Here is an 11,206-nt window from a genome sequence, read left to right on the forward strand (position 1 = left end):
ACTTCTGATTTTCTGGTGAGGTTGAACAAGTCTGTCTCTATGATGTGGTTTTTCCATCCCTAAGAGTTCTAATTTTAGTTCTTCCATCTTAACTGGGGTTTTGTGAACATGGGATTGTGTGGAAAATAGCCTTGCACACTCTAGCAGAAGAAATTGTTTGAATTGGCTGGGTACAGCGGCTCATGCCTATAATCCCAGCATTTTGGGAGGCCAAGGCAGGGGGGATTGCTTGAGCTCAGGAGTTTAAGACCAGCCTGGGTAACATGACAAAACCCCATCTCTACAAAAAATTAAAAAGTAGCCAGGTATGGTGGTGTGCATCTGTAGCCCCTGCTACTCAGGAAGCTGAGGGGGAAGAATTACCTGAGGCTGAGAAGTTGAGGCTGCAGTGAGTGGTGATCATGCTACTGTACTCCAGCCTGGGCAACGGGAGTGAGACCCTGTCTCAAAAAAAAAAAAATTATATACATATAAATAAATAAATTTTAAAAATTGTTTGAATCCAGGGCACTGTTTCTCAGGAAATGTGCCACTCCTTCCAAGCTCTGTGGAAGGGCATGCAGAGAGGGTTGGCTACCACTTCTGGGCCTGGGAGGAAGGTGGGGGCTGTTCCAGAGATGGGCATTTGCTGTCCCAAGCCTAACGAGTTTTTGGCTATGTCATATGTGACTCCTAAATGACCACTTGGGATGTCCCTTTTTCTTTTCCAGGATAAGCTAAACCTGAAGGAGTCTGATGACTCTGTGAACACAGAAGACAGGATCTTAAAACCATGTTCCACCCCCAGTGACAAGTTGGTGATTGACAAGTTGGTGGTGAACTTTGGGAATGTTCTGCAAGAAATTTTCACAGATGAAGCCAGAACGGGTCAGGAAAACAATTTAGGAGGGGAAAAGAATGGGTATGTGACCTGCCCCTTCAGGCCTGATTGTCCCCTGGGGAAAAGTTTTGAGGAGCTCCCAGTTTCACCTGAGATTCCGCCCAGAAAATCCCAATACCTACGTTCGAGGATGCCAGAGGGGACCCGCCCAGAAGCCAAAGAGCAGCTTCTCTTTTCTGGTCAAAGTTTAGTACCAGATCATCTGTGTGAGGAAGGAGCCCCAAATCCATATTTGAAAAATTCAGTGACAGCCAGGGAATTTCTTGTGTCTGAAAAACTTCCAGAGCACACCAAGGGAGAAGTCTAAATGCGACCATAGCATGAGACCCTCGGGGCCTCAGTGTGGATGGCCCTTGCCAGAGAAGATGTCAAGACTCGGCACGCAGCGCTTGCTTGGCCCTGCCACATCCTGCCTAGGTTAAAGTTTCCCCTGCCCCTTGAGCTGCCAGTTGAACTTGGTCGGCAAAGATGCGACCTTGTACTGGGAAGAAGGGATGGTGATAAGCCCGAGTTTTGTAAAGGAACAGCAGTCTCTTTTCGTTTGTTCAGATACCAAGCTCTCACCGAGGCCTCCTGACAGATTGACTTTGAAGGAAGGGCCCAGGTTCTGAGCCCAAAGGACCCCCAGGGTGGACATATCTGGCCTCCCAGGAATTGGGTCATGGTCCCAGCCTTTGCTGGGGCTGAGCCTCAGAGTTCCAGAAGGCCTTTCCCTGCTGCCAGAGGACAGTTGTTTTGTTGGCTCTTGGGTGGTCTGGTGGGAGCCTGGGCTCTGGTCTTCCCCTACAAGGTAGCCCTGAAGCCTTCCTCTCTCCCCATAGTTGGGGCTGGAGGTGGAGTGGACCTTCCTAAGGGGTTGTCTGAGGCTCCTCACATCCTCTTAGATCTCAAGTGCCTGTAGCAACACCGCACCTGAGAATCCTCACCCCCAATTTAGACTGCATTGACTACTAAAAAATCAAGGAATGGGGAGGGCCCTGGGGAATGTATGCTGCCGGGCGCAGCTCTGTCCAGTCTCCAGGGGGCCACTTCCCAGCTGCTGCTGCCCTTCTATTCAGCACCCAGCCTGGGAGCAGAAAGGCACCTGACATTGCAGTGGTTGTCATATAGGGACGCTGGCCCCTCACACTGGTTCAGAGCCCAGGAATGCTTACTTAAAAGGCCTCTTCCCGGAAGCAGCAGGGCAGGGCCTGGGAACATGCAATGCCTAGCAAATTTGCAGCCCCAACAGGAGGACTTCTGCTCCTTTTCTCTAGCTGAGCACAGAGCTTGTGACAGTTAGTGGAGCCTTTCACGAAAGTGTGGATTGCTGGCTTCAGCACTGAGATAGTACTGGGCTCCTCCTGTAACTATAGTGACAGAGTCAGCTGTGACTCCCTTGACCTTTGTGGGAGGCCACTAGGAGGCTGGTGAGATCAGGGCAGGCGAGGCAATGAGTGAGTGGCCCAAGGTGCAGTGAACCCAGCACTTGCCAGCCAGGAAGGCTGATGGTATTTTTTCTAGGAGAGTTTGAGGAATCAGTACTAGGATTGCAGGCATGAACTTCGCAAGCCACCCACTCAGGTGTGCAAAACATCACTTTACTTTCCTAAAACTAAAATTAATTGCCAGCCTGAGACCTGACACTTCAAAGTAACCTCAGCCCAGTATGATGATTTCTGAGTTGCCGTAGGTTTGTGACTCAGTCACATTTGGGGTTTTGCCCTCCCCTGTCCTGCCTGGGACTGGCTCTGAGTGCCGAGGATGTTCAATGGCGCAGCGTGCATGGGGCAGAGTTGGTCACTCAGTGGCATCCTCTGGGTCATGTATTTGTCCGGCCGTGTTTTTGTCTCTGGCCTCGTGTGTTTACTATGGTCCCTCCTGTCCCTGTTGGGTCACCTACCACTTACCTTAGCCAATTGCTGCCTCGTTACTGTGGGCACAGGAAGGTGTGGCTGCTCTCTCAAAGCTCTGTCCTCCTAACATCTCCAGCGGCTGCAGCCACCCCCCCACCACCCACCCAGGACTCAGTACTCCTGGTTTACGGAACAGTGACTTCTGGTACACCAAGGAATGAGGGAGGCCCGAGGCAGGGCACTGGGGAATAAGACTCTAGGGCAATGCCCCTGTCCCGTTGTCCTGCACTCAAGTCCAGGTGTAGGAAGGGACCAAACAAAAGAGATGCGTCCAATTCTCATGCCGCCCCTGATGTCTGCTCTCCCTGCTCTCCCTGTTCTCCACCCCTTCTATGGTGTGGGCTCTTCTGTGAGCCCACTGTCCCCAGAGTTCCAGATGGGGCCTTTGGCAACCCCACCTTCAGATTCATGAACATATGGGGAGATTCTAGCCTTGCCTCCTGTCTTGGCCCGAGGATGGGGGAGGGCACGGGTACCCCCACAGCTGTTCTTTCAACCCTCCTGCCCACCTGTAGTTGGGGGAATTTTCTCAAATTCTGTGGGAGGTGGGTGAGAGGAGAGCCTGGAACAAGTTCTCCCAAACTTGTCTGTCTCACACCTGGATGTAGATGAAGCTTCTGAACCTAAAATCTAAGAATTTGATGGGAGAGAAAATGGATCCCCAATGGCTCCTGTGAGTGGATTCCAGAGATAAGGATGTTGCCCTCTGGCCCCTGCTCCTTCATCATCAAAGCTGGAAGCGTCTTTTGCTGGACAATTTGCAAATCCCCACCCAGCCCTTCCTGTTTCATTTCTTCTTTCCTTTCTCTCCTCTTGCCCCTATCTTGTGCTTTGTTTTCCCCCACTGCCAGAGCTTCTCATCTTTTAACACTTGCTATTGTTTTCTTGTTTCTTTTCATTCCTTTCTCCCCTTCCATCAGCCTCCTTTGATCATTTTCCATGGTTTTATTACCTTTGAGGGGTGGGAAGATGGTGGCTCTGTTTCTTTCTAGGTGAGAGGAGCTGTTTCTATGAGTCCCCAAAAGGCACTGGTGGGCCACACCTTAGCTCTCCTGAGCAGGTTCACAGGATGTGAGCCTCAGAGTTCAGGGCGCAGGTGACTTCCTCTCCTGGATCGAGTCACCAACTGTCCCCGCTCTGGGCACCAGGGACTGCCTCTGTGGCTGGAGAAGGCCATCTGTGTTTTCCCTGTTTACTGTCAGAGACATTGTGAGGACACAAACAGGAAGACTTGTGTTTTAGCAAGGTTATTAAAAATGGATAAACCAGTTTTCTGAGACCCTGGGATCCATGCAGACAGCTAGGTTAGTGGCCTTTCTTTAACAGTAAGAGCAGAAAATTTTTAAAGAATGACAGAGAAACCAGTCTGTGGCTTAAATAAAAAGACCACAAGTTCCTTCTGGTGTCTTGGGAGGCAGCGGTGTGAAAACACCACGCAAGGGTCTGGAGGAGGCAGGAGATGGGGAGAGATGAAAAAGGAGAGGCCCACAGTATGGATGCCTCCGGCTGCTCTGCTGATGCTCTGTGTGCGAGGAAAGCCTGTGCTGGCCTGTCCACCCCAGTCTGATTCTGTCCCCATTTCCAGCACGCCCCTAGTTACTCCTGCTGCAGCAGGCACCCTGCCACCCAGGGCAGTGGCCCACGGGCCAAATCCAGGCCCTGTTTTTGTAGGTTCATGAACTAAAAGCTATAATGACCTATTTAATGGTTGAAAACAAAAAGAATAACATTTTGTGACAAGAAAAGTCCAAGAAATTCACGTAGTGTTGACAAAGTGTAATTGGAACACAGCCATGCCCATCGTTGACCTATTCCCTATGGCGGCTTGCCCCTACAAAGGCAGAGTTGAGTAGTTTCAACACAGAGTTTTTCCCACAAAGCAGAAAACGTTTACTCTCTGACCCTTTGCAGAAAAAATTTGTGGACGCCTACCATAACCCACAGACATGAAACTCAGACTGCCACTATGTTTCAACTTTGAATTAGCTGCAAATTAAAAAGAAATCAGGATATGTCATTCTGAATTTCTGACCAAATAAGGACTGCCCTCTTTGAAGGGTGCACACACACTTACTGGTTCCCCACCAGCCCTCCTAAATTCCTGTCCCCTTCCCATAGCTAAGGTCGAGAGTTGGTGGCTTACACCAGTGGTCTTTCAACAGGAGTGATTTTGACCCCCAGCCTCCAAACCTCAGACATTTGGTGATGCCTGGAGATATTTTTGATTGTCACGACTGGGAAGGTGCTACTGGCATCTAGTGGGTAGAGGCCGGCAATGCTGGAAATTATCTTATAATGCGCAGAACAGCCCTCACAACAAAGAATTATCTGGCAGAAAATGTCAGCAGTGCTGAGGCTGAGAAGTCGTGGCCTGAACTACCCTCTGCCTTCTAGATCCACACACAGTGTTCACATGGGTGAGACTCCCCTCTAGGTGTCCCCTCTTTTTTCTAATTTAAAATTTGTTTTAAATTCAACTTTACAGCAGTAATCCCAAGAGTTTTAAATAGCAATTATTTGTCATGCTTAATTAACTCCTAACATGATCTGTGTGCACCTGTACACATTTTTCAGCTAATTGCAAATCATACTGAATACATTATGTTCTCCCATATATAAAAATTCATGCATGAGCAAAGCATTTTGAACATCCATGAAAAACCCCATGGCGGGCCTGCATGGTGTGGTTTGCTAAGGCATCCCTTGGTTGATAGGATTCGTTTAAAGGTCCTCCTAGTATAGAGTGCAATGCGATAAACATTTATCTTTTCTTACCTTTGTCCTGTCTCTTTGGGGCTGTTTTCAAAAGTGGAATTGCTGGTCAGAATTTTATGGTTGTCACATTTTGCGTGACTGTGTCCCATCAAAGGTTATGCTGATTTACAGTATCACCAGACATGTCTGACGGATCCTTTGTCCTTTTCCACTGAGAATCAGCTGTCTACCACTGTGAGCTTGATTTTGTCAATTTATCGGGAATAGTTAATGAAACTTTATAGTTATTTGTGTTGCTTTAATCCTTGTGAAGCCAAACTTTTCTTTTTTTATTGTTGCCATGTCCCTGTGTTGACATTACAGAATGTTCTCTGCCTCCGTGCTCCTGGGGACATTGACAGACCAGCTGAGTTGCTAGAAATAAGAGGGACTCAGTAGGCCCTTAGCACAGCGGGTGGACTTTGCCATTTGGTTGACTATTTAAAATACTTGTTTTTGTAGGGCATCTGAAAAAGAAATTTCACACTGGTGTATTTTGTTAATTGTTTCTACGTAAATGTTGATTATTGACAAGCCTACTTGTAATCAAAATGTGTAGTGTGGTCAGTGTCTTGCACTCTTATGTTGTGGCGGGGGGGGGGGGCGGTTCCTGAAGAGTGGAGTGTGACTAAGGATAACAGCAGTCCTCATTTCCTTTGGACACTGGGGTCAGTGGGGAGAGAGTTTGCTCCGAAGCACAAACAGCTCCAATCCATGCTGGAAGAGACCCCAGGCCACAATAGCCCTTGACACAGAGCTCTATGCAGGGCTGTGCTGCCCAAGACGCTTGTCGTGTGCTGATGAAAAGGGCTGGGGAGAAGCAAGGGGCAGGGGAGGGGCAGAACTCCACAAGAGGGCAAAACCTGCTGTCAGCAATGCTCTCGTGGCTGTTCAAGGGAAGTGAGATACTTGTACTATGCATTTCATTTTTAGGACTAGAATTCTGTCTTCCTGCCCAACTTCAATATAAGTGTGGACTAAAATGCGAGAAAGGTGTCCTGTGGTCTATGCAAATTAGAAAGGACATGCAGAGTTTTCCAACTAGGAAGACTGAATCTGTGGCCCCAAGAGAACCATCTCTGAAGACTGGGTATGTGGTCTTTTCCACACATGGACCACCTACGGATGCAATCTGTAATGCATGTGCATGAGAAGTCTGTTATTAAGTAGAGTGTGAAAACATGGTTATGGTAATAGGAACAGCTTTTAAAATGCTTTTGTATTTGGGCCTTTCATACAAAAAAGCCATAATACCATTTTCATGTAATGCTATACTTCTATACTATTTTCATGTAATACTATACTTCTATACTATTTTCATGTAATACTATACTTCTATACTATTTTCATGTAATACTATACTTCTATATTAAAGTTTTACCCACTCAGCCAGGTGCAGTGACTCACACCTTTAATCCCAGCACCTTGGGAGGCTGAGGTGGGCAGATCACTTGAGGTCAGGAGTTTGAGACCAGCCTGGGCAACATGCTGAAACCCTGTCTCTACAAAAAATACAAAAATTAGCCAGGCGTGGTGGTGCGCACCTGTAATCTCAGCTACACGGGAGTCTGAGGCAGGAGAATCACTTGAACCCGCGAGGCAGAGATTGCAGTGAGCCAAGATCGTGCCTCTGCTCTCCAGCCTGGGCAACAGAGCAAGACCCTGTCTTAAAGTTTTACCTACTCAGCTATCTAAACTGAGGCTCCACAATGTAAATACGTGAGAGATCAGGGAAGCCTGGTGGCTGTGGGAAAGGGCTCCAGTTGACCAGGACTCGGCAGCTCATTACACTCTTTGCTGCAGGAAATGACTCCTGCCTGCATTTCCTGTGGAGGATCCGAGACCCACGCCCGGGCTCTCATTGTCTTCCTATTCCAGGCTCCTTCCCGCTCCTGGAGCTGCCGCTGGGTCTCAGCTCTCTGCTCTGAGGCTACGCCGCAGCTACAGCTCCCTGACCTGTTCCTGTTCAGGCTCCCAGGAAACCTCAGAGTGGCAGGTGCCTGCTGTTTCCTCTGTCTCCCGCCCATCCCACCACGGCCTCTCCTGTACTTTCAATTTGTTTTTCTTTAGCCATTCCTTCCCTTCAGCTTCTAAACACAGTTGGGTCACTTCCATTAAAGAAAGAAAGAGCCCCTGGATCTTCCTCTCCCTCTGGCTGCCCACAGACTCTTGTCACAACGCAGGCCGTGGTTTAAAGGGAACGTGGTCTACAGCCCGTCTGGCAGCTTCTCCAGGCAGCTGAACTTGTTTCCGTTTTTGGTAGTGAGAAAATTGCACCGCTAGAACTTTCTAGAGGTGTAGAAAGCAGGGAGTCACTCAACCCATTCTGGTTCGGGGGACTGCCAGATTTTTTTTAAAAAAAAGGGGGTGTAGAAAGCAAGTGAGACCAAACAATTTTGGGACAAGGAATACGGACACAGAACAGACTGGTAAGTACCCAAGTGTATGACAAACATCCACCATGGATCTAGGAGAAGCCCTGGGGCAGGGTGATATTCACCCGCAGAGACCCCTGTTCATCACTAAGCTTATGAAGAACCATTGACTGGCATTTAACACCAGGTGCTGTGCTCAAGGTGTGGCACGCAGTACCCAGTAAGCCTCACAACTGCATTGTGAGTAGGTAGCTCTGGCCAGTGGCAGATGAGGAGGCTGTGCTCAGAGAGGCTAGATGACTTGGCGGAGGCTCTCTGAGGCTCTAAGCGGGAAGTGGGGGGTTGGAGCCCAGCCCTTTGACTTTCCTTGTGCTTTTCTACCTCGGGTGAGTAAGATGACCAAGGGACTGGGGAGATCAAGAGGAGTGGAGACTCCAAGGGGACCCCTTTTTGGTGAGACGTGTAGACCATTCCCCTCTCCCCTGGGTGCCTGCAGAGAGCTCTTGAGACTGGTTTTAGAGCCAGTGAGGTCTAAGAGAAATGCTGACGGCAGGTGTGGGGATGGAGAGGGGAACCATGTCCATGTTCACAGCCCTGGTGACAAGAAGACAGAAGCCCCCAGGGACCCAGAGCTTCAGAAGGGTTTACGATGGCTACAGAAGCAGGTAGTCCCATGACGGTGTAGAATCTGTAAGCACCCCCAGGAGCTGGGCAGGGCAAAAGCAGGTCTGCTGGAAGAGTGGATGTCCCATGACTGTTGGAATAAGGTACCACGTGGGTGCCTCCTCCCACCCCTCCTTCCCCCTCCCCCACCCCCACGCGCCCTTGGGGCAAAGCGAGACTCGTATCAAAATAAAAATAAGTTATTGGCTCACGAGTTACACTTTCAGAGTCCACAGACTTAGCAAGGATTCGTGTCCTCTTGCCGCTGTAACACATTTCCATAAGCTCAATGCCTTAAACAACAGGAATTGATGATTTCACAGTTCTGCAGGTTGGAAGTCACACTGGGCTACAGTCCAGGTGCTGGCAGGGCTGTGTTCCTCTCTGGAGGCCATAGGGAAGAGTCTTCCTTGCCTCCTCCAGCTCCTAGGCGATGCCTTTATTCCTTGGCTTGCGGCTCCTTCCTCCGTCTGCGGAGCCAGCGGTGTTGCGTCTCTCAGTTCTGCAGTCACACTCGCTCTGTGTGCAGGACCTGGGCTGCACAGCATGAAGGCCCCAACTAAAGCCTCCGTCTCCATGTAGGGACTTTCTCCCGAGATGCCAGGTTTGTCCTTTTAGGAGTTCCTGGCCCATAGAAGACTGTGGCTATATAGTCTTATGTGAGATCAGAACCCAATGGGAGCTTGATGGGAACTGAGCCCAGAAACCCATCAAAATCTCATCTTATTGTTGTCAAAGCTATAGGGCCAAAGGATCTAGGGCCTAGAAAACCTAGCCCTAGATCCATGGCCCAGGGGGCTCACTAACAGTGCCCCTAGAATTAGACATCCCAGGTCCCTGGCCCAGCTGGATTCCCACAGGCCTTGCTCTGCAGGGACAAGATCCTGAGAGAGCAGGAGGGGCAGACTCTGGGGGTAGAACCAGGGGCTGTCTTGGCCTCGGCCCATCAGAACCACAAGCGCAGGCCCATGGAAGGGCGAATAAGGGGAAGTCCAATAACAATAAGGTCCAAATGAACTTCCATCTGAATTCAGAATTCTTAAGGATTAGCAAGTGCTGGAGTTTGTGCAGGGCTCAGGGGTCCAGGAAGGTGCACCCCAGTTAGTGAAAAGCCTAGGGTGCTGGTTCAGTCAAAACCACGACTGCATATGTGCACCTCACACATCTCCCAGGGGCTTGATTTCAAACCTTCCTTCATAGGAAACAAGCCACAGGACACAAAACACATCCAGTTGGCCTTTTGAAAGAAATAATATGTATTTACTTAGAAACAAAATTGCACTTTTCCCTATAAGTCAACAAATGCTAAGGATTCTGGACGTCAAATACCTCCCAAGACGTTTTATCAGCCAGACTTTGTTGTCCTTCAGGAAAAAATATGAGTTCCAGGAAAAATGACAGGCATGCAGGATGCTGATTTCCTTCCTGATGGTAAGACAGCAGCCTCCTAGACTGACGATTTCGTGACTTCTCAGGGGCTGGGTCCGGAGAACACCTTACTTTAAACAAAGGGAGAATGCTCTGTCCAAAGGCATCTTCTCTTGAACCCAAAGCAATGTTTTCCCATCATATATCAGAATTTTCACTCTTTTCTAGATCCTTATCCCCTCACTACCCCTTCCCCATCAAAAATATAAAACAAGAAATTTTAAAAAAATCTTTTTTTTCTTAGAAACACAGTCTAACTTTGTTGCCCAGGTCAGAGTGCAGTGGTGTGATCATGGCTCACTGTAGCCTCCATCTCCTGGGCTCAAGGAATCCTCCCACTTCAGTCTCCCACATGGCTGGGATTGTGCCACTACACCCGGCTGATTGTTTTGTTTTTTTGTAGAGATGGGGGTCTTGCTTTGTTACTCAGACCAGACTGGTCTTGAACTCCTGGCCTCAAGCAATCCTGCTGCTTCAGCCTCCCAAAGTGCTGAAATTACAGGCATGAGCCACTGTGCCCGGCACAAAATCTTCCAAAAAACAAAACAAAATGAAAACCCCAGGAGTCCTGAATATCATCCTTTGAGTCCTCCTGACCTCCTTGTCTGAGAGAGCCTTGAGTGAAGGAGCTCAGGACGGTACCCCTGAGGCCTGCACTCCAGCCTAGGTGACTGAGCATGGGTGACCCGTCACTGTGCTGCCGACAGCAGAATGGACTGACAGGGCTTCCAGATGGACACCGTCCCTGTAAGAGCATCTTAATGCCTCAGGCTAAGTCCCATGTCAGAGTCAGGGCTTAGCTAACTTAACAGGTGGGAAGCTAACTTAACTCACGGCATGTTTACAAGTGTGATAACATTTATAAATTCTAAAATAATAAAGCTAATTGTATTAGTCTGTTCTCACACTTCTAATAAAGACATACTTGAGACTGGGTAATTAATAAAGGAAAGAGGTTTAATGGACTCACAATTCCACATGGCTGGGGAAGCTTCACAATCATGGTGGAAGGCAAAAGGCACGTCTTACTTGGCAGCAGGCAAGAGAGAAGGAGAACCAAGTGAAAGGGGAAACCCCTTATAAAACCATCAGATCGGCCAGGTATGGTGGCTCCTGCCTGTAATCCCAGCACTTTGGGAGGCCGAGGCAGGCGGATCACCTGAGGTCAGGAGTTCGAGACCAACCTGACCAACATGGAGAAACCCTGTCTC

At 48.9% G+C, this 11,206-nt stretch overlaps 1 protein-coding gene across 9 annotated transcripts in view, besides 1 other annotated feature; it reads left to right on the top strand.

Annotated features, from left to right (window-relative positions):
* The window catches only part of IL31RA (interleukin 31 receptor A), an 83,062-nt gene extending 76,145 nt beyond the window's left edge, over positions 1 to 6,917 (top strand). For 6 of the 9 annotated variants that reach the window (XM_011543142.3, NM_139017.7, NM_001242639.2 and 3 more), the window contains one exon: positions 711 to 6,917. In XM_011543142.3, coding sequence (XP_011541444.1) covers positions 711 to 1,187 — 477 coding nt within the window. In that variant the 3' untranslated portion in view covers positions 1,188 to 6,917. The remainder of the gene's footprint in view (positions 1 to 710) is intronic. The other 3 variants (NM_001242638.2, NM_001242637.2, XM_047416701.1) reach the window with 1 other exon arrangement.
* Positions 6,899 to 7,499: an enhancer, noted in NCBI's record as "H3K27ac-H3K4me1 hESC enhancer chr5:55218660-55219260 (GRCh37/hg19 assembly coordinates)". NCBI's record gives its function as "activates a minimal SCP1, AML or CMV promoter by ChIP-STARR-seq in primed H9 embryonic stem cells {active_cell/tissue: H9 hESC(primed)}" and the evidence as "EXISTENCE:reporter gene assay evidence [ECO:0000049][PMID:30033119]".

This window comes from Homo sapiens, chromosome 5, assembly GCF_000001405.40.
Source record: "Homo sapiens chromosome 5, GRCh38.p14 Primary Assembly".
Taxonomy (NCBI): domain Eukaryota; kingdom Metazoa; phylum Chordata; class Mammalia; order Primates; family Hominidae; genus Homo; species Homo sapiens.